The 24943-nt window shown below is 35.4% G+C and overlaps 1 protein-coding gene across 26 annotated transcripts in view; it reads left to right on the forward strand.

The window, feature by feature from the left end:
* The window catches only part of MBD5 (methyl-CpG binding domain protein 5), a 496045-nt gene that overhangs the window by 49848 nt on the left and 421254 nt on the right, over positions 1–24943 (forward strand). The window contains exons 1-2 of one of the 26 annotated variants that reach the window (XM_047445063.1): positions 22364–23157; positions 23710–23776. The exons of 24 other annotated variants lie outside the window; for them this stretch is intronic. The gene's annotated coding sequence lies outside the window, so the exon portion shown is untranslated. One more of the 26 variants, XM_047445077.1, reaches the window with a different exon arrangement.

Raw genomic sequence — 24943 nt, forward strand, 5'->3', positions numbered from 1 at the left:
TTTACACAACAGTCTATTTAAAATGGAAGTGTAAAAATTAACTATAATAATACCATAAATTAAGCATTATACCAAGTTTTTTGTTTTTTTTTTTTTAGATGGAGTCTCGCTCTTGTCACCAGGCTAGAGTGCAGTGGCACAATCTCAGCTCACTGCAGCCTCTGCCTTCTGGGTTCAAGCAATCCTCCTGCCTCAGCCTCCCGAGTAGCTGGGATTACAGGCGCCCACCACCATGCCCAGATAATTTTTGTATTTTTAGTAGAGACAGAGTTTCACCATGTTGGCCAGGCTGGTTTCGAACTCCTGGCCTCAGATGATCCACCTGCCTCGGCCTCCGAAAGTGCCGGAATTACAGGTGTGAGCCACCACACCCGGCCAAATTATACCAAGATTTAACAAAATAACAGACATATATTAAAATATTAAGAATCATTTTGTTCAAAGTCAAAAATCACTAATACGGGCCTTTTTCTTTCTCTCTGTGTTTAGATATATCTGTATATGTGTGTGTGTGTGTGTGTGTGTGTGTGTGTGTGTGTGTGTGTGTGTATGTGTAGATATGGGTTTATGTATATGTAAATGTGTGAATATTTAGCAGGAAGCCACAATTATTGAGGCAGGTATTGTGGTAAGTCACTTTATATTCTCATTTAATCCTTCTAATAATCTAGTGAAATAACTACTATTTTTATCCCCATTTTTGAGATGAGAAAAGTGACTTCTAGAGAGAGGAAGCAACTTGTGCAGGATTACGCAGTCATTAAATTATAGACTTTGGAACTTACATAAGATCTCTCAGTGCTTTATGATATTGTAGCTAACAGATATGCTCAATATGTTTTTACCTGTTGTAGAATCCAGATCATTAAAAGAAAAGATATTTGCTCTGTGATAATTCAGCATTACGTTTATCCTCTTAAGTTTTCTCCGGCTTCCCTCTGTCTTTAGAATGCGTTCTGTGTCTAAACTTTTGAAAAACAAAGCCCATTGCTTTTGTCCTACAAATATTTCATAGAGGATGCTACGTTGGCTATCTCTCTTTTTAAGTTGAAAATAGAATAAGAATTTAACTTCACATGAGAACATAAGAATAAGAATGCTCTAGGTTTTGTAATCATTAAGTTTAGTTTTTAAAAAATGTTCATTGTGAATCATAATCCTAAATTTGAAAGATCATGTGAAGAAAATGTTAAAAGCTTATTGGACAGTACATTTAAAAAAGTCTTGCATGTTCAGACATTTTCATCCTCTAGAGGAAATCATAGCTAAATATACGTATCTGTACTTCTTGTTTTAGCCTTTGTATACTAGTGTTTATTCACCTAGAGAATTCAGTATTCTAATTTGAAGATAGGTTCTACCCTGCTCATACTATTCAATATAATAATAGCACTTATCGTCATAGATATACTGGCTTGAGACTTGAAATTCAAGTGAAAAATACCTTTGGGTAATTAGACTACACAAACTTATGTAGTTACCTGAAATCTGCATAGTAAAAATGAATCATCATTTAGTTTAAAATAAATTTACTAAATTATAACATCTGACACAATGCCATCCAGTAGGATAACATATTTAAAATGTATGGGCCGAAATGTAGACTTTAGTATTTATAGGTAAGACTTCTATTATAGAAATCATCATCATGGTTTGCTTTGTATCTAAAAACAAATTCTCTATGTATATAAGTTATATAGTGTAAACAAAAGTAGTAGATCCTTTTGTGAATTATTTAAGCTTAGAATTTTTTTTCTGGGAATAGAACATATATACCAACCAAAGGTTTGATTCAGCGGTAAATTGAATGATTTTAGATTTAATACGACGTGCCTCTTCAGTTCTTTAGGCACATGTGAATTAATTGTTGCATGAAAACTGAATAAAGTGACACTTGATTGCCCCTGATAATGAGATCCTTAGTTTCTGTAAGAGGCTGCTGTGTTATGAATACATCAGATTTAGTTATTAACTAAAAAGTTTTTTTCCAAATTTTCATGTCCTAGGAAGGCTAGATCAATTGGATCTGACTGGGGGTAATATTTCTTTTCAACAGTGGTAAATGTTTATGAATCTTTCCAATAAGCTTTCTAAACCACAGTGATTTGGTTGAGAAATACAGATTTCTGGTTGTATTTTGTTAATGTTCTGGAGTACCTATATCCAGCTCTAAAGTTTAGCTTTTTAACAAAAAATGATATAGGAGATGAAGTGATAGACAGCTGGTGGGTTATTCCCAAGGCCTTAGGCACCCTCCACCCCACCCCACCACCATAGAACTGGCTGAGAATCCTTAGATAGAAATATTTCAGGTTTTTTTGTACTGATTTAATCTAAATAACTTGCACTTCTTAGAAGTGTGAGTTTCTCGCTGTGATGTTTTTCTATTACTGTATGCCAAGGAGATAGATCAGCTTAAGACCCCTACTGTGGTGATGAAGTCAATGTAGAAGAGAAAATGCTCACCATTGTCTTAATTCTAGATTTATCATTTGGGGTAGGGGGTAGCAGGTATAGGCAATCACACAGCCCAATAAACATTTTCTCCTGATGTACAAATTAAACTCTTGGAGTTATGCGGTGGGGATATTAATATAAGGGGTGGTTTTGAAGTTGATGTTAAAAGTCAGTGTCATAGTTTTTCATGGATCAAAACTGTATAAATGATTTTATCACTCTTCCTTCCTTGCTCTTACATTTAAAAGCTTTGCCTCAGTGGAAACAACTTAAATGTCTATCAGTAGGGGATTATTTAACTATATATGGTACATTCTTATAATGGCATACTGTATAACCATTAAAAATGACTTCTACATACATACAAGTAAAAGTTATTAATATTTATCAAGCACATACACTTAATGTGCTAGACACTATTCTAGGAAATGACCATGGAATGTCTCATTGTATCTACACAACAACCCCATGAGAGAGGTACTATTGTTATCCCTATTTTAAAGATGATTTACTTGAGATTGAGAAAAATAAATCACCCAAGGTCACACAGCTATAAAGAAATGCCAAGTTATGGACCTAGGCAGTCTGATTCTATAGCAAGTGTTACTAACTACTGTGCCATATGCCATAACTACTATGTGGCTGGTATAGAAATGTGCATTTTTTATAAATCAACAGGTAAAACAGCATATCATGTATAGCTTGATACTGTTTACATAAAATTGTTGCCCCTGGTTATTTTGGGCTTATAGGATACCAGATAATCTTTTTTTTTTCTTTTAAGATTTTTTTTATCAGTGAATATTTAGAATTTTTCTAATATAAAGATATCAATAAAACTTTTGTATTTTGTAAACAATAAGTAAATCACTGCTCAAACTAATTTCTCCTCCACTTCTCTCAGTTAAGTGTTTCTTCCTTTCCCTATCAATTTTGGTGCTTTGACTTCTATGAAGCAGCAATTATACTGCTTAGTCTGCTTACCTTCAGCAACACTCTAAGTGTTAAAAGGACCTTCTACATTTGTAATTTGTTTGTATCTTATTTGTAATTCCTTTGGATTCTTTCTCTTTCCTTTGTAAAACTCTATCATATTTAGCTTGGTGTTCATTGGACTTCCAATAAATATTGATGAGGTAAAAACAAAGTCTAATGTGAGCATTCTGGTTTAACAGTTTTATAGGTTATACTATTTCCTTTTAGAAAGAGTTTTGGATATAACCGGAAACTAGTACCTTCAAAGGAATAGTTTGTTTTTTTTTTGTTTTTTTTTTTGTTTTTTTTTTTGAGATGGAGTCTTGCTCTGTCGCCCAGGCTGGAGTGCAGTGTCGCCATCTCGGCTCACTGCAACCTCTGCCCTCCCCGGGTTCAAGCAGTTCTCCTGCCTCAGCCTCTTAAATAGCTGGGATTACAAGGAGCCTGCCATTGCGCCCAGCTAATTTTTGTATTTTTAGTAGAGACGGGGTTTCACCATCTTGGCCAGGCTGGTCTTGAATTCCTGACCTTGTGATCCACCCACCTCGGCCTCCCAAAGTGCTGGGATTACAGGCGTGAGCCACCACACCCAGCCAGGAATAGAATTTTACATGAGGATGTGGCAGTAATGATTTGGAAATGATCATATGTGGCTAGAGGAATGCTGTTCTTCTCTTTCCTCCAAACTCTGTTATAGTATTATTCGAGGGTCTTGGAGAATAAAGACCTCCTCTAGAGAGGACCACCAGAGAAAAGCATCCTCTGGGTTTCTGTTAAGACAGAGGTGTCAAAAAGCATTTTTGAAGACATGAGGCATACGGGATTGTCAATTGTTAATTATGAAATATAGCAGCAGTAATAGAGATGCAGTAGAAAAGCTTTGTGGGAAGAGATTATTGGAAAGATGGCTCAGGGAAGAAGCAGCCCAGAATAGAATAAGGCAACTAAGGAAGACTGTACATGACTGTGGAAGAGGGGTCTACATGTCAGAGTGTGGCCAAAGATGACAGGGCTGTAAGGGAGAAACTGAGACTTAAATATTCAGTCAGTTTTATTTCTTTGTTTTTTGATAATCAGAGGCAAAGGTAAAAACGTATTTACTGTTTGAAACCAGAATGAGGGTCTAGAACCCTGCCACCATATCTCTTTTTCCTTGCCTCATTTCCATCCTGTGGCCCATCTTACATCAGGCATTAGCCTGGGCTAAGAGAAATGGAAATAGTTTTCCTAAAGAAGTCATAGCATCAAGTTATTAAAACTTTTTTCATCCGTAAATATTTCTGTCTGTATATCTAAAAGATAAGGACTCAATTTTAAAATTACTACATTATCACACTTCTAAAAAATTAGAAATACTCCTTAGCTATGAGCATTGCACCAGTCAGTTTTCAGATTTTTCTGATTGTATTATAAGTGACTTCTTGTGGGTCTTTTTTTTTTTTTAACAGTTGTTTGTTTGAATCAGGATCTAAATAAGATCCATATGTTGCAATTGGTTAATGTATTCTTAAGTGTTTCTGAATCTATAGGCGTCTCACTCAGGATTAATAATTGATTAGACTTTTATAAGTACAGTTTCTGTAACTGTAGTGATTTTAAAAAGTAATAATTTATATTGCAAGAGTTAAATATACCAGTAAGATCTATTCTCAGTATGGGCTTAAATATAATTAAAATTCCACAGCTTGGAATCGTATCCAGTTTTTTATTCAGTGCCCACATAAATGTATTAATGATCAAAATAATTAGTTTGCAAGAAATCAGGAGCCACTAGTAATTGGCCAACTTATTCTATTGTAAATAACGTCTGTATAGTTATTTTCTTAATTTGCCCTAAAATCATGGCCTTAGAAAGTAGTAGTATCCTGATTATCCAATGCTAGTTAAAGAAAACATATCACAAAAATTAAATGTTTAGAGATTTTTCCTACTTTACCAATAGGAACTAATTTGAAAACTCAAAGTCGTCGTTTTTTGTTGTTGTTGTTGTTGTTTTCTTTTGCAGAGTGATAAAGATGTTTCTGTCTTTCTGCTTTGTACTACAGCCCAATATTGGTTTTAAAAAAGGCTCCATGTAGCCTGAAGAAGCAATAATGATTGGTAGTATATCAGTCAAGATGGGCTATATTATGAAGTAATGAGAAATAACCACAAAACCTCAGTGGTTTAAAAACAACAAAGGTTTATTTCTTGCTCTCCTTGCATGTCCATCATGGTCAGCAGCATCTCTTTTTGTAATAGTCACTTAGGGACTTTGTGTAGCAGCCACCATTTCAATCATTTCTTTCATCATGCTGGAAAGAAAGACAAAAAAAGAGGCCTCAGAGGTCTGACATCTGCAATTAAATGTTCCAGCTTAGAAGTCACACATTCAATCACAAGGAAGCTGTGAAGTTAGTCTTCTAGGTGCCAGTGAGAGAAAGACCAGCTATTGGTGAGCAGTACAGATAACTAACAGAGGTTATCATTGTAATAATAGGTTAAGTGATAATTCTATTACTAGCTTCTGATAAATCTGTTCACTCATTTATTCATTTACTCAGTTATTCATCAAATATTTATTAAGTAACTGCTATGTACAAGTTACTGTACTAGACAGTGGGAACATTGAAGTGAATAAAACGCATCCATCCCTCTTCTCTAAGTTCTCATAGTCTAGTAGAGGCAAACCACAAGTAATTTTATATTGGAGATTGGCAAACTATTGCCTACAGGCCACATCTGCCCTGCAGCTTGTTTTTGTGTGTCCCATAAGCTAAGAATGTCTTTCACATTTTTAAAGGGTCAGGAAAAGAAATGAATGAAGGGGACTATGCAACAGAGACTGTTAAGTGGCCTGCCCACAGCCTGAAATATTTACTGTCTAATCCTGCACAGAAAAAAGTTTGCTGACATCTGTTCTATAATAACTGTACTTAAATTTGAAGCTCTTCAAACTAACTGCTCTCTAGCCCATTGTCAAAAGTCACAGAATTGTCTTGTAAGCTCCACATATCTCTTAATAGTGTGCCTTTTGTTTAATCTGATACTTTATTTCATGGAAATATAAATCTTTTCCTGTGTCTTTGGAATGGCAATTTTATTGGCATCTTGAGTTGTCTTGTTACTGGGCATTGTAGGCATAGGTGACTATTTGATTTGTTGCATAGTTAGGTAGCTGTGAGATGGCCAGACTCTTAAATGTCTTTATGCAGATATTAAGTAATGACTTGTTTTGGAACAGGAATTATAGCAACCAAGAGGATACCTGCTTCCTTAGTTTTAGAAATCAAAGTCAGAGAATGGAAGTACATAGAAGTAGATTTTTATCTTCTCTACTATGGACTGGGTAACTCTATTGAGGATAATTTTAAACGGAGTAAGAGACTGTGGTTCAAAGTGTATAGAATGTAAAAACAATATATAGTGTCCTGCTCCATATGAAGCACTTGTTGATAATACCTAAGGACGTGTAAGAATCACTCATGGTACTCAAATTCATAATAGAGGAGGAGGGTATTTTGATTCAGACTGAGAGGAGTGGGATTGTATAAAACAAGTCTGGATTGTTCTAAAGCAGTTTTTGAGGAAAAATCTGCAAAAGATGTGACTTTTATAGCATGAGGGTAGGGTGAACAACAGGAAGGAAATGATGCCTTGAACTTAATACATAATATACTCTCATATTGACCATCAGAGCTCAATTTATGATAGAGTTGGGAGACTCGATAGATTAAAGAAGTCTGCTAAATTCCACACCAACTTTAGGATCTACTTAAGGTGTAAGGGGTTCTGTTATGTGGAATGTAGAATGTCAATGCCAAAAACACCTGTTCAGCAACAGTTTGTAGAATTCTAGATGGCCTTGGTAAAGGACATTTCCTATGCCGTTGAGTTGCTTATAGGAACTAGATTTTTATATTTTTGGGAAAACTCCTCTTTCAGATCTGTTGCTTCAGAGCTTGTATCCTTAACCATCATTCTGAACTCTTATAAGGATTAGAATCAATTTCCTTAACAGTGAACAAGTGTATTTTTCCAAGTGATTCCTAAGGTTCTTTCTAGTTTTTTGGCTGATTATGACAGTCAAAAATGACAGCCCTGGCTCAGGTCTGTGACTCCAGTAACTCTAACCAGATTCTGAGCTTATATACTAGATGTCCTATGTATCCAGTGGGTGATCATTTACTTGTATGTCAGATTGACAAAGTATTTTACCAGTCTTCTATTTGTTTGGAGACTACCAGATACACACAAGATATGCCAGTGCTTACTATGGATTACATACAGTCCACTTCTCCTGGCTATTGACTGTTACCATATGTAATTCTGAGATTATCATTTAAAATCTCCTTTTCCTTGTATAGTCATTTTATTGTTAATTTCCATAAAATGAACTGCTCGACCACATAGTCCCTGCAAATGTACCATTATATAACAAGGTCGTATGACTGACTGCTCTTTCTACAGTAGCTAAAATAGCGTAAGTATATATTATCCATTGGAACATCTAACATATATTCTTTGACTCTTTCAGAGCTGATATCTACATTACAAATAAAGTGTTTTTGTTGGTAATTGTGGGCTTCTTTTGGTTAATGATAATTGCAAATGTAACTTCATGTAACTGGATATCATAGCCATAAAGTAATTTGGATTAGCCAATAATCCTGACTTTATGTTGGAAAATTTAATATTGTAAAAGAACAAGTGTGTTAATTATTTTATTAATTGCCCCATTGTTCATGGAGACAAGTGCTACAGACTGGAACAAATGACCCCATACCCAACTTTTAAGACATGCTTATAGGAAAATGTTTAATATTGTTCACTCATCTCCCTATGGTAGTGATCTTCTTGATGCATAGCTTTATAGCTTCCCTGTCTTTATTTTGACTGTCCACTGAAATGTATTTCCAGGTCAAAAACATTACAGTTTTAAAAACAAAATTTAAGTGGTGAAGTGTCTAAAGTTATTCATTGCCACCTAAGCCAGTGCTAATTCATAAAATGCTGACCTGGGATCTCAGCAGAATTGTGAATAGTTTGCTTCTATCTTCCAATTTCAAAATGACTGACTTTGTGTGTTTGGTCTAGCCTCATCCAGCCTTAAGCAATGGTTTTCAAATGTTTTACAGGATGATAGTAGTATTGGCAGCAAGCTCAATCGATGAGGATATTGTTATAGTTATAGAATCATAGTCAGTTTTGATAATACAAACTAGAGAAAGTGAAGCTTCATATAATCTTCTTGGCTAGTGAGCATATAGAGAAAATACACCATCTATATGTGCCTGAAATTCTCAAGTTAGAGAGGCAGTCTCTGCCAGTCCACTGCATCTCCATCCCACTTCTACTTGTGTCTACTCTCCTCTCTTAAAACTTGCTTTTGGCCTAGTGCGGTGGCTCACATCTGTAATCCCAGCACTTTGGGAGGCCTAGGCGGGTGGATCACAAGGTCAGGAGTTTGAGACCAGCCTGACCAACATGGTGAAACCCCGTCTCTACTAAATATACCAAAATTAGCCAGGCATGGTGGTGCACACCTGTAATCCCAGCTACTCTAGAGGCTGAGGTAGTAGAATAGCTTAACCCCGGGAGGCGGAGGTTGCAGTGAGCTGAGATCGCACCATTGCACTCCAGCCTAGGCGACAGAGGGAGACTCTGTCTAAAACAACAACAACAACAACAACAACAACAACAACAACAACAACAACAAAAACTTGCTTTTACCCATTTTCCATAAAGTCCAGAACCTCAAGGCTAGTTAATTTAATAAAGTGTGTTGTCATGATGTTAATAGATTCTAATTTATCTCTATCAGGTAAAGACATTGAATAAAATAGTGACTCTTCTGGAATTATTAAAACAAAACAAAATCGAAACAAACAAGAACAATAGAAAACCCTTGGTCTTATTGTGCAAAGGAAGTTTAGGATTAAGGTGAAGGTGATGTTGGAAGGCATGGAAATAGGGGCAGCAGGTTAATCTTTCCCTCAATTACAGCAGGCAGGCATTCATGTACTGAATGTTTGAGTCAGTTTTGGTACAATGGAAGCATTTCTGTCTCAATGTATTAAAATCATAATCCTTCAATAAAATTAGTGTATATGGAAATTCATTATATTTCATATTTAGTTTCAGACACATCTCCTATAGATAGCTAGTTTCCAAGTAACTTCAAAAAATGATCTAGGAATATTAAATTGTAAGAAAAGCAGAGTTTATTAATTTTATTCAACAGCAAATTTGAAGTACATATTCATGATAATATGAAAACAACTTTTTGCTCTATATATAATAATGCTTTTTTTAAAAAAAATCTGGCATCCACTTTTGAAACTAGCATTGTTTAGGCTTAAATCTTTTAGTATTGGACCCTAATTTAAAGACTAGTTAGGTTTAAATAGACATTTTATTTCCATTCTTAAAGTTTTTAGATGGCCTGGGGGAAAGATGAATACACATCTTGCTGTTTTGCTGATTTGTGAATCTACTAAATTTAAAAGGAAATAAAATTATGAAGTAGTGAAAAATACATAACATACAACCTAGGTCAAAGGTATTTGAAATTATTATATATTATGATAGCAGCTATGTAAATATGCAATGGTTTAAACATTTAAAAAGTATTAGAAGCAAATGTATGGAAATTCTGAGTGATTGTATTAAGGTGCTAAGATAAGAGCCTTTTTTCTTCTAGATTCTGATTTTTCTGTAATATGGTTGTACTTTTATGATGAGAAGAATAAATACGTTTTAACAAAATGCAATATAGGAAGCTAAGATTAAATACGGAAAACCATTTGCTGCTTCTAATTATGGAAAATGTTTCAACGGCACTTATATTAAATATAAGGATATTTCATGTACCCAAAAGACTATATTTTCTATAGAGTATATTTCAGCATAAGAACCAGCTCACAGCTCAGAGTGTCAGGGTGCTAGGCAATCTTCAAAATTAATGTCCAATAAATTTTAATGTAAAAGGGTCTAAATAAATGTTAACTTGTTTATTGTCTCCTCCAAACTTCTTCATTCCCTCCAACAGTTTGAATAAAGTACAAAGGTAGGGTTCTTGACTGTCTTTTAAAATTGTTATATCTTTAGCATTTAGAACAGTTTCTGGGAGAAAGTAGGAGCTTAATGGTATTTGTTGAATGAATGAATAAATAACAGATGAGGGAGATAATGCAATTAACTCCTAATTGTATATGCACAGATATTTCCAGTATAAATTGCTTATGTTCTCTCACCATCTCTCCTGGTTTCGACTACAATACTAGAGAAATATTAAACTTTTTACAAGGATTAAGGATACCTTGAACTAGCTGAGAAAGAATATAGCACCTTGGGGCCAAGCAATACCAGCCGTGGTAAGGAGTTACATCCCATCACTCATATCACCCTGACTGTAATAAGGAATAAGAGTACAGTAGATAGGGAAGAGAGGTAAGAGGAGCATATTGTAAGTTCTGGTCTCCTTTTTTTCAAATGGACCCTGTGTTGCCGCAGAACCCATGGTGCCACCCACTCAGAAGGCTTCCTGGATGGCTCTGTGCATGCTTAAGATGAACGGGTCTACCTTTCTTTGTTCCTTCCCCATTCTTATTCTACATAGTACCTACTGCACTGTAACTTATGGTTTTGTGGGAGAAATTCCAGGTATCTTAGAATACAGAATCATATAAAAGAGCAGTAACTACTCATCTTGAGAGTGATTGCATTTATTTCATAGGTAAGTAATCTTGCCCATAGCTAATACACTTATTATTTCCTTTTATTCACTTCCGCATGAGTCTATATAATTCATTTTTAGGCTCTTCTGAATCATTCTGCTTCCATTCTGTAGCATCATTCTTTTTGGTTGCTGTTTTCTTCCATACTTATTCCTCTTTGAGGAAATACTTCGCACTTCATATGCAAAACCAGAGGCATTTCTCATGAATCCTTTAGATTATGAGAAAGCAAAATTTCTTTTCACAAACCCCACACCTTTCCACAATTTTAGGCTGAAACTGCTCTCTACAAGACCTTTTGAATGCTTATACAACAGCATCTTTTATCTGAACCCTGAGTTTTTCAATTCTTTTCATTTATTCAGTGTCTTCTGTGGTGTCTTCCCTTTTCCAGAGCACTTATCCTTCTCTGTCAAGCTTCTTTCAAGTATCTTTATTCCTTTTGACTGTAACAGGTTCTCTGAACTCTTCAGGTCTATGCCATTTGCCCAGTACTACCAGCATCTCAGTCTGGATTATTCATCATCTTAGATGGTCATATTTTCTATTATTCACCTTTTTGTCCTTCTATTTCTTCTCTGATTGGCATTAGCATATTCATTCACTTTTTCAGTTATTCATCAGATATTTACTGAGTCACTACCATGTACCAGAGCTCTGCTAAATGTTGGAATAAGTGGTAAAAGAAACAAACATGGTCCTAGCCCTTACAGAGTTTACTGTCCACTTGAGGAATAAAACAGTAGGCTCACACATCTACAACTCAATTATACCTCCGTGACTTAATCTGCATGTGATTTCAGAGGAAGGGGTTTTTTATTATGGAACTCTCCTGTTTATTTGCAACTCAGAAAGTAGTAAAATAATCTTACCTTTTTGCTGGTGGCCTTGGAACAAATTCAAGATCATCTGGTTTGTTTCCAACAAAATACGTAGGTTATCCTCTATAAAAGTATTATTAATAATTATAAACAACATTTATTAGGTATCATCTCATTGTCTTTCTTGCCCTTGGTAGGCATGATCTCCTATAGTCCTTCAATAAACCTGTGACAAAACTGGGGCCCAAAGAGGTTGGCATTTGCCCAAAGTCATTCAGATACTAAGTGAGAGAGGGGATTTAAATCCAAGTCTGTTTGGTCCCCGAATCTGAGCTCTGTTGTCATGTTTGCCAGTTTTCATCACTAGTAAAAGGATTCAAAAGCTGAATGTCTAAAACCTGTGTTCTTCTTTTGCGCTTATTAACCATCCAATATTTCTGCTATATAAAATGTTAATGAATCTTCATTGCAAAAATCAGGATATCAATAAAATCCATTCACAAAGCAACTTTATAGATGGTTAATTGGTTTGGCTTATTAATGAGATTATGGCTTTTGAAATACTAGGAAATATTTACTATCAAGTGGAAAATATTTTTGCGAAAGGATTGATTACAGTTTAGCGTTATTTATTATTTTAAATCATAGCCTCTGGTTAACTGAAACCAAGGAACATATTTTCTTTGTTAAAAATGAAATTTTTAAAAATTGAGAAGATAAAAAGACATATACATGGTCCATCCAAAATATAATATGTATATTATTTTAACTTTATGCTATTAACATATTTTATTCAAGAATAAGAAATAGAGGATCGCAATCAAGGTCCTATATTACACCCTGTCCTTACTCAAATAGTTTCATTTTTTATTTATTTTTATTTTATTTTATTTTATTTTTGAGACGGAGTCTTGCTGTGTCATCCAGGCTGTAGTGCAGTCGCGCGATCTTGGCTCACTGCAACCTCTGCCTCTCGGGTTCAAGTGATTCTCCTGCCTCAGCCTCCTGAGTAGCTGGGACTACAGGCGCACGCCACCACGCCCGACTGATTTTTGTATTTTTAGTAGAGATGGGGTTTCACTATGTTGCTGAGAATGCTGTCGATCTCCTGACCTCATGATCCACCCACCTCGGCCTCCCAAAGTGCTGGGATTACAGGCATGAGCCACTGCACCTGGCTGAATAGTTTTATTTTTATTCTTTGTTTACATACTTGATTTTAAAAGTATTTTTGTACCCTTCACATTTTCAATACCAGAAGACTTTTCCTCCTCAAGATGTAGTTTACACAAAAAGATTGAAAACTTGATGTAGAAATGCTTTATAAAGTCTCTCGTTTTGCTGTTTGCAATACAAGACGAACTTTCACATGGTAGAACACAGATCTGTGTAGTACTTATTGCATTTAAAGTCAAATACTAAGATCTTATGTCACCATTAATATTGGGCAGATCACTTAGCCTTTTCCATGCTTCTGTTCTCCTACGGGGATGCCACCAACTCCTTGTGACATGTCTAGTTAGAAGATTTAATCTTTACATTAGGATTATATTATGTAATTCTGCCCAACTAGAATTAAAAATATTCTAACATGAAGGACATATAAAAGGTATTGTATTATGATTGACAAAATAAAACAATTTTGACAGACCTCAGGTAATATCTATTCTAATTATCTGCCTTTTAAAATATAGTTTTAAAAATACTTCAGTACAGTGTTTATTGATTTCCAAGTCATTATTTCAATATAGATTTTTCAGCATTGTTACATTAATCTTTCCATGGAAATTTAGGCCAATTGAGATCTTTGCCTCAGAAACAACACAATATCTTTAATAGGTTCTGCCTTTTTTTAGGGCTAAGTAATTAATCTGCAGTATGTGAATATCATATACTTTTGGTTATTTAAATTTAGCTGATTTTTGCTTTTCTTTTTTTAAAACTTTTCTGGACATTAAAAAGTGCATTACCATGAAATTTTTGGGAACCAGCCATTATGTAAATACAGGGTATCATGTAAAATATTTTTGTCATTTTCATTTAGTGATGGCTGGTTTTTATCCTGAGGCATTTGCCCACATTCTTAAGAAATCCACTCCCTAACTCTGTACCTCTGGCTAATAATATTTCCTTGTTGCCATCATTTTTTCTTAATTCGTAAACAATAGAAGGTGGAGTCCAATTTGAAGTCAAACAATTCCATCAAGGCATAAATGAGTTGACTCCAACTACTGAGATAGAAAATGTCACCAAAGGGGTTAGTAGGAAGAAGAGAGAAGGAAACACCCATGCAGATTGACCCAGAAATAGCATCCCCTGTGCCACATTTGTGTTGGTCTGTGTAAACAACACAGCAGGTTATGCCCACTGAAACAAGAGCAGAGGTGAACAACATTGCTCAGGTCCAGGGAGTTTTGCTTGAGTGAGAGGAAACAAGGAATGGTGGGTTTTGTTGGCAGTCCGTATAAAGCAAGGTTCCCCACATCACTATTATTATTGTTACTGGTAATTGTGGTTGATTGTTGCTAATTTAAGATTAGAAACTAATTTAAACCTCCTATTTTGAACAATGTCATTTTCTAACATCCAAAACAAGAGAAATTTTGTTCTTTTCCCGTTACTGAGACTCTTGAAACTTTTACAGGAATCCTTGGGCACCAGAGCAATTACTTCCAGTGCTTTTAAAAGTTTTGGAGCGGCCGGGCGCGGTGGCTCACGCCTGTAATCCCAGCACTTTGGGAGGCCAAGGCGGGCGGATCACGAGGTCAGGAGATCGAGACCATCCCGGCTAAAACGGTGAAACCCCGTCTCTACTAAAAATACAAAAAATTAGCCGGGCGTAGTGGCGGGCGCCTGTAGTCCCAGCTACTTGGGAGGCTGAGGCAGGAGAATGGCATGAACCCGGGAGGCGGAGCTTGCAGTGAGCCGAGATCCCGCCACTGCACTCCAGCCTGGGCGACATAGCGAGACTCCGTCTCAAAAAAAAAAAGTTTTGGAGCTAGTTAGAAAGCCCCAAATTTCTCTTTTAATGGTAATCATGAACCATCCATATAAAGACACTGAGAGAATGGAAATACTGATATAAATGTTCATAGTCCTTTATCTATAATTGTGAATTTGCAAAAAGATCTGGAGGGGAAAATCTACTGTTTTATTTATAAGAAAATTTACGTAAATGTATACGTAGTTCACACAGCAAAACCTGACTTGAACTAAACTCTTGGTGGAAGTACAGAGCTCAACTTCCATGATACTGTTTATAGACTTTATATTTCCTATATGTGACTATTCTTATATTTCACTACAGAGATGCTGATGCGTGTGATTCTCAAGTGCTGCCTCAGTCACTTCTGGGCTATTGCATCATATATATAGTATATGTACTATATAGCCTTTCTAAAATTAAATATATACATGGTATATATTTTATGTTTAAAATGTGTTTGTGTGTGTGTGTGTGTGTATGGTTTCTGAAACTTTACTGGCCCTGAGGATTTCTAGAGAGAGATATTTGTATACCATTAGTAGTATAGTCATGTGACTCTGGAGTCACATATTTTGTAACTGTTAACCATAATAGATTCCATCATCCTGAAGAGACAATACAGTCAACCTCCAATTTGCATATCAGTTTTGTCATTCAGAATCTGTTTTCTCATAGAATTTTTTTTACATGGTGGTTATGCATGGTGATATTATGTTTATTTAATGTACATAAGGCATAATATTAGTTCTATGGAACTTATGACAGTGTTTTAATGCAAAATATTTTTAAAGTATACCTGTCTCCTTACCTGACCCTGGCTCATCCCCAAACATAAACAAACCCCTACCACAGCCTTTACATAATTTCTGAGACTCACTTATCCCACTCGTGCAATTAGAGTAGGAATTGGAACAGGCTCAGACTACTGCTAGAGTTACATTTACCCAACAGGATACAGAATAGGGGTGGGATTCTTTTTGTATTTCCTGTCTTCACTGTTCTCTTCATTCTTTTCTTCTTTAGATCTTAGGAAGTGCCCTGTCTAAATCCTTTCCTCTTTATGCTACCCGTAGTTCTGGTATTTATTTGGAAGTAAATGGGACTAGACTTCCATCTGTCTTTACTACCTCGCCTTTATCTTTAATTTTGAATTACCCATTTGACCCTTCTCTATCTCTCAATCTTCCTTTCATAAGGAAGGCTAATGGTTTTTGCCACAATAATGACAGAAAAGAGGAAGCAAAAATACATGATAGGTGATTGCAGTTATTAAAAAAAACTGAGGCTAGAGGTAGAGGGAAGATGACAGATAGGAGACAGGGCTGACCTGCAGCTCCCACTCGGATGAATAGAACAGCATATGGAGACTCACACCATGGACTTTTGCTCCAGGAACCACCACAGGAGTATACCAGAAAAACTGAAAGAAATCACCAATCCTTTGAAAGCAGCAGCAGGCTGCTGCAAATTCTGTGAGACTGGCAAAAAACTCTGGTGCTGTCTCCAAATTGCCACCTTCTGGCTGGAGGCCAACCAACTCAGGACATTATAGCAACTCATGAACCAACAACCCCGCTCCAAGGAAAGAGAAGACAACAGTGAATTCTGCTGCCTGCAACATCCTGGCTAACCAGTGATCCTGAGTTTGTCCATGTGACTGTCACTGCTACTATAACCAGCATTCGAGAATGCTAGCACACTAAACACTTCTACAACCAATTACAGAGTCTACTTCACTCCCTGCCACCTCTACCAGAGAAGGTGCTGGTATCCATGGCTGGGAGACCGGAGTATGGATTGCATCACAGGACTCTTTGCAGACATTCCCCAGCACCAGCCCAGAGTCTGGTAGCCCCATTCAGTGGCTAGACCCGGAAGAGTGATAACAATCACTGTAGTCTGGCTCTCAGGAAGCCCCATTCCTAGGACAAAAGGGAGTGCACCATATCAAGGGATTGCCCCATGGTGCAAAAGAATCTCAACAGCAGCACTCTAGTTCCACATTTTTCCACTACCATAGTCTACCCAAATGAGAAGGAATCAGAAAAGTAATTCTGATAATATGACAAAACTAGGTTCTGTAACACCCCCAAAGACCACACTAGCTTGCTAGCAATGGATCCAAACCAAGAAGAAATCTCTGAATTGCCAGATGAAGAATTCAGAAGGTTGACTATTAAGCTATTCAAAGAGATACCAGAGAAAGGTGAAAACCATCTGAAATAAATTTTAAAAAAATACAGGATATGGATGAAGAATGCTCCAGAGAAATAGATATCATAACGAAAAAAAAAATACAACTTCTGGAAATGAAAGATAGACTTAGAGAAATACAAAATGCACTGGAAATTTCAACAATAGAATCAAACAGAAAGAAGAACTTCACACGTTGAAGACAAGGCTTTTGAATTAACCCAATGAGACAAAGGCAAAGAAAAAAGAATTTAAAGACATAAATCCTCCAAGAAATTTGGGATTATGTTAAATGGTCAAACTTAAGAATAATTGTTATTCCTGAGGAAGAAGATAAATTTAAAAGTTTGGAAAATATATCTGAGGGATTAATTGAGGAAAACTTCCCTGGCCTCACTAGAGATCTAGACATCCAATTATAAGAAATTAAAAGAACATCTGGGAAATTCATCTCAAAAGGATCATCACCCAAGCACACGGTCATCAGGTTATCCAAAGTCAAGACAAAGGAAAGAATCTTAAGAACTGTGAGTCTAAAGCATCAGGTAACCTATAAATGAAAACCTGTCAGATTAATAGCAGATTTCTCAGCAGAAACCCTACAAGCCACAAGGGACTAGGGTCCTATTTTTAGCCTCTTCAAACAAAATAATTACCATCCAATAATTTCATATCCAGCAAAACTAAGCTTCATAAATGAAAAAGAAATAAAGTTTTTCAGACAAACAAATACTGAGAGAATTTTTCACTACCAAGTGAACACTACAAGAAATGCTAAAAGGAGTTCTAAATCTTGAAACAGAATATCAAAATGCACAAAAATAGAACCTTCTTAAAGCATAAATCTCACAGAACCTATAAAAAATACCACAATGAAAAAAATCTAAGGTATTCAGGTGACAACTAGTATGATGAAGTACCTCAAATCTCCATACTAACATTGAATGCAAATGGCCTGAATACTCCACTTCAAAGGTACAGAATGGCAGAATGGATAAAACTCCACCAACCAAGTATCTGTTGTCTTCAAGAGACTCACCTAATGCATAAGGACTCATATAAACTTGAGGTAAAGGGTGGAAAAAAATATTCCATGCAAATGGAAACAAAAAGCAAGCAGGAATAGCTGTCCTTATATTAGACAAAACAGACTTTAAAGTAACAACAGTTTAAAAGACACAGACAGACATTATACAATCATAAAAGGATCAGACCAATAGGAAAATATTATAATTGTAAAGATACGTGCACCTAACATAGGAGCCTCCAAATTTATAAAATAATTATTACTAGGCCTAAGAAATAAGATAAACAGCAACACAATAATAGTGGGGGGACTTCAGTACTCCACTGAGAACACTTGACAGGTCATCAAGACGGAATGTCAACAAAGAAACAAATTACACCCTAGAAAAAATGGACTTAACAGATATTTGCAGAACATTATACCTAACAACTGCAAAATAGACATTCTTTTCATCACCACATGAAACATTCTCCGTGATAGACCATACGATAGACCACAAAGTAAGTCTCAATAAATTTAAGAAAATAAATTATATCAGGTACCCTCTCAGACCACAGTGGAATAAAATTGGAAATTAACTCCAAAAGGAACCTCAAAACCATACACATACATGGAAATTAAAGAATCTGCTCCTGAATGATCTTTGGGTCAACAATGAAAACAAGATGGAAGTAAAAAATTATCTGAACTGAATGATAATAGTGACACAACTTATCAAAACCTCTGGGACACAGGAAAAATGGTGCTAAGAGGAAAGTTCATAGCATTAAATGCCTACATGAAAAACTCTGAAAGAGCACAAATAGACGATCTAAGGTCAGACCTCAAGGAAGTAGAGAAACAAGAACAAACCAAATCCAAACCCAACAGAAGAAAAGAAATAACAAAGATCAGAGCAGAACTAAATGAAATTGAAACACAAAACAATACAAAAGAAAATGAAATAAAAAGCCAGTTATTTGAAAAGATAAACAAAATTGATAGACCATTAATAAGATTAATGAAGAAAAGAGATGATTCAAATAAGCTCAATTAGAAACAAAATGGGAGATACTACAAACAATACCACAGATATACAAAAGATCATTCAAGCCTACTATGAACACCTTTACACGCACAAAATAGAAAATCTGAAGGAGATGGATAAATTCCTGGAAATATACAAGCCTCCTAGATTAAATCAGGAAGAAGTAGAAACTCTGAACAGAAAAATAACAACTAGCGAGATTGAAACAGTAATTTAAAAATTGGCAACAACAACAAAAAAGTCCAGAACCAGATGGATTCACAGCTGAATTTTATCAAGCATTCAAAGAAGAATTGGTACCAATTTTACTGAAACCATTCCAAAAGATAAAGATAGAGAGAATCTTCCCTAAATCATTCTATGAAGCCAGTATCATCCTAATACCAAAACCAGGAAAGGACATAACAAAAAAAAGAAAACCATAGGCCAATATCTGTAATGAACATAGATGCAAAAATTCTCAACAGAATACTAGCAAACCGAATCCAACGGCATATCAAAATGATAATACACCATGATAAAGTGGGGTTTCATACCAGGGATGCAGGGATGGTTTAACATACTGCAAGTAAATAAATGTGATACGTCACATAAGCTGAATTAAAAACAAAAATTATATGATTATTTCAATAGATACAGAAAAAACATTTGACAAAACACAGCATTTTTTTATGATTAAAATCCTCACCAAAGACAGCATAGAAGGGATATACCTCAAAGTAATAAAAGCCATGTATGACAAACTCACAGCCAACATCATATGGAATGGGGAAAAGTTGAAAGCATTCTTCCTGACAACTGGAACAAGACAAGGATGTCCACTTTCACCACTTCTATTCAACATAGTGAATCAGACCCATAACAATCAGACAAGAGAAAGAAATAAAGGGCATCCAAGAGGAAGTCAAACTATCGCTGTTTGCTGATGATATGATTATATACCTAGAAAACTCTAAAGATTTTTCCAAAAAGATATGATAAATGAATTCAGTAATGTCTCAGGATTCAAAATCAATGTGCACAAGTCAGTAGCACTGCTATATGCCAACAATGACCAAGCTGAGAACTCAACTTCTTTTACAACATCTGCAAAGAAAATAAAATGCTTAGGAAATCTACCTAACCAAGGTGGTGAAAGGCCTCTACAAGGAAACAAAACACTGCTGAAATGAATCGTCAACAATATAAACAATGGAAACACATCCCATACTCACAGATGGGTAGAATCAATGTTCTGAAAATGACCTTACTGCCAAAAGTAAGCTACAAATTCAGTGCAGTTCCCATCAAAATACCATCATCATTCTTCACAGAACTAGAAAAAACAATCCTCAAATTCATATAGAACCAAAAAAGAACCCGCATAGCCAAAGCAAGACTAAGCAAAAAGAACAAATCTAGAGGCATCACATTACCTGACTTCAAACTGTACTACAAGGCTATAGTTACCAAAACAGCATGGTACTGATATCCAAATAGGCACGTAGACCAATAGAATAGAATAGAACACCCAGAAATAAAGCCATATGCTTACAGCCAACTGATCTTCAACAAAATAAACAGAAACATAAAGTGGAGAAAGGATACCCTATTCAAAAAATCATGCTAGGATAATTGGCAAGCCACATTTAGAAGAATGAAGCTGGATCCTTATCTCTCACCTTATACAAAAATCCATTCAAGACAGATCAAAGACTTAAATATAAGACCTGAAACCATAAAAATTCTAGAAGATAACATTGGAGAAACTCTACTAGACATTGGCTTAGGCAAAGAGTTGATGACCAAGAACCCAAAAGCAAATGCAACAAAAACAAAAACAAAGATAAACGGATGGGACCTAATTAAACTAAAAAGTTTCTGCACAGCAGAAGAAGTAATTAGCAGAGTAAACAGACAACCCAAGAGTATGAGAAAATATTCTGCAACTATGCATCTGACAAAGGACTAATATCTGGAATCTACAAGGAACTCAAACAAATCATCAAGAAAGAAACAGTCCCATCAAAAAGTCAGCAAAGGATATAAATAGACATTTCCCAAAGGAAGACATATAAATGGCCAATAAACATGGAAAAATGCTCAGCATCACTTATTATCAGGTAAATAAATGCAAACCAAAACCATGATGAGATACCACCTTACTCCAGCAAAAGTGGCCATAATTAAAAAATCAAAAAATAACAGATGTTGGCATGGATGTGGTGAAAAGGAAACACTTTTACACTGCTGGTGGGAATGTAAACTAGTACAACCACTGTGGAAAACAGCGTGGAGATTCCTTAAAGAACTAAAAGTAGAACTACCATTTGACCCGGCAATCCCAATACTGGGTATCTACCTAGAGGGAAATAAGTCATTATACGAAAAAGACACTTGCACATGCATGTTTATCTCAGCACAATTTGCAATTGCAAAAATAAAGAACCAGCCTAAATGTCCATCAACCAACAAGTGGATAAAGAAAATGTGATGTGTATGTATATACCATGGAATACTACTCAGCCATAAAAAGGAATGAAATAGTGGTATCCACAGCAACCTGGATGGAGTGGGGACCGTTATTCTAAGTGAAGTAACCATTATTCTAAGTGAGTAACATTGTGTGTTCTCACTTACAAGTGGGAGCTAAGCTATTAGAATGCAAATGCATAAGAATAATATAATGGACTTTGGGTACTCAGGAGTAAGGGTTGGGGGGTGAGGGATAAAGACTACACATTGGGTACAGTATATACTGCTCAGGTGATAGGTTCACCAAAATCTCAGAAATCTCCATTAAAGAACTTTTCTATGCAACCAAACACCACCTGTTCCCCCAAAACTTTTGAAATTAAAAAAAAAAAAAAATTTAAACAAAACAAAACAAAAACTGAGGCCAGGAAGAAAGAATATTGAAGTACTGTTGCCAAGAAGTTAGAAAAGCTAGCTTCTTATCTATCATGACCTTTTTTTTTTTGACGGAGTATCGCCCTGTCACCCAGGCTGGAGTGCAGTGGCGCGATCTTGGCTGACTGCAACTTCTGCCTTGAGGGTTCAAGTGATTCTCCTGTCTCAGCCTCTCGCGTAGGTGGGATTACATGCCACCACGGCCAGCTGATTTTTGTATTTTTAGTAGAACAGGGTTTCACCATGTTGGTCAGGCTGGTCTTGAACTCCTGACCTCAAGTGATTCACCCACCTTGGCCTCCGAAAGTGTTAGGATTACAGGAGTGAGCCACCGCACCTGGCTGGTAGACTGCTTTTAAACTAATATCCTAGAAACTATCTATGCAAACAGGCAACTTACAAAGTAATCTCATAGGAGGCTATGCACTATGTCATTAATGCTGCTTTGCTTAAACACTGGAAACTCCTAAGGTTGTCTTCAGAGACTTTGCTGTTATTTTGAATGTTATTTGTATTATCAGTCATTTTTTTGAGGGTTATGTTTGATTTTTACAGACAGCTGTCTTTGTGAATAATGTCTGATGAGGCAGGTTTTTGATTTTGTGTTTTGTTTGTTAGATTTTTGGTCAAAAGCAAGTAAAAATTAAAAATAGATTTTTGTGGAGCTTTAAAATTCATTATTATACTGGGTATAGAAGAGAGTTCAAAGCTGTTTTGAATAATTGTAGCCCTGTGATCTTGTACTTTAAATGCAGCAACATCTATTTAGTATATAGGTTTTTATATATTGATTTAAAATACATGCTCATTATTATTCTTAACTATATTAGTGTACAAGTGTATTTAAATATTCAGATATTGACACACATATAATATATGTTCATTGAGATGTTGAGGCTATGGAAATTTCAGTGTAAAAGAAAGAATTTTCTTAAAAACCTAGCATGTATCAGTGTATCTTTGTTGTTTTGAGATGACGAATCTATCTGGAAGAGCAGAAGAAACTGAATTGGAATAACATAATTATTACAAGAACTACTTATTAAGTACCCACAAAATAACAGGTAATTTCTGAATATTGTGTATTTGTTATCATATTTCATTTTCATAACAATTCTTGGAGAAACTTGTTGTGTTCTCTTTTATAGATAAAGAAACTAAGGTACAGAGAGCTGAAGAGACATGCCCATGATCACATGGTTATAAGTGGCAGAGCCTTCCATGCCTCTGACTTTTTTTAACTGCCCTAAATTTCTTAGACCATGCTTAATGCTACTGGCACTGTACTTCAACTAACTGAATGTATATTGTTACTTGTATGTTGAGACCTTGTTTTTGTAAATACAGTTCCAACAGATTAATTGTAGTGCTCATTATTTGTACTCTACTGGCAGTATTTTAAAGTGTGGTGTATTGGAGCTCTTTCCTTGCATAAAACTCTACAAATTATTTACTCTGACCCAAAAGACATGATTGATTTGGCCACCCTCATTTATAATCCAAATTGACTTGCCAATTTTGGACACACCAAGCTTGTTTCCACTTCAGATCATTTACACAAATTGTTCCCTCTGCATGTTATTACTTTCAGTCATTCAATGTCTGTTTCCTGTTAGATCTCAGCTTGAATGTCAACTCCTAAGAGAAGTTATCATAGAAGACTTGAGGAAATCATTTTCATAGGTACCCTTTAAGTAGTATTTAACTATAGTTAGTGGTATGACTATATAAAGCAGTTCCAAAAAATGAATGAAGCCAGGGTGTTATCTGTATTGATATTTTGAAATATTGATGTTTTTCCTATCAGGCACAGTACTAAAATCCTTATTTTGTAAAATCTGGATGAGAATGTTATTAAAAACAAATCACAGTTAATTTTCTAAAAGCCTAATTAAATATTTAAGAAGAAGAAAAATAACTCATGGAATGCCAGCTACAAGCCAGGTACATATAGCTATACATAGAGATAATAGGTATAGAATCTGCTGCTCAGAGAGTAAGATAAGTGACTTGACTAAGATTCTGCAGGTACTTTGCTGCACAACAGGATTTAAACCTAGGTGAATCTGATTTCAAAGCTAGTGTTTTTTCTATACTCAGTGCTGCCTCATAACTCCAGCGTATAAAAGGCCAGGTGAATCATCCTGAATTATTGGAAGCTAGCAGGGTATAAATAATAAATGAATAAATAAAACTGTGGCAAGTGATTTTACTTTGTTCACTAAATATAGTTAAAAGATTGACATTCCCAGCATATGCCTAATCACTTGGAAATGTTGGATCACTTTTAGTAAATCCAGATTCAGCAGCCCTATTTAACAGGTGGAAAAATGTTACTTGTTATAAAAATGCTTATTTTCAAATTCCTAAAAGAACACAGTGAATATTCAGATAACATTTTTTAAAGTACTTGAAAGTGAACATTTTTCCCTTATTCTGTTGCTTAATAATTAAACTACTTCTTTGTGATATTTCTACATTAGATATTATAGGAAATAAGAAATATAAATCTGCTCAAGAAATGATTTATAGCTGACCACCTCATATTTTGTATTATTGGTTTCATTATTTAATCCCTGTAATACACATGCAATCTGTATGTAAGTAAAAAGTGTATATGATTTACTTAGTACCAAAGTGCTATAGTAATATAGGGTGTATTTTGAAGACTTTATTTTTAGGTTCATACTGATTCCTCTCTTATAAAAGGTGGAAACAATTAACAATTAGATTTAACATTATAAAGTATTGTAGGGTGTGCAGAATAAAGCAGATGTGCACATTTATATAGATTACTTATGAGCAATACATATCTTTATGTATAATACCTATTTTAAAATTAATTAAGTT

The sequence above is a fragment of the Homo sapiens genome, chromosome 2 (genome assembly GCF_000001405.40).
Source record: "Homo sapiens chromosome 2, GRCh38.p14 Primary Assembly".
In the NCBI taxonomy this organism is placed as follows: domain Eukaryota; kingdom Metazoa; phylum Chordata; class Mammalia; order Primates; family Hominidae; genus Homo; species Homo sapiens.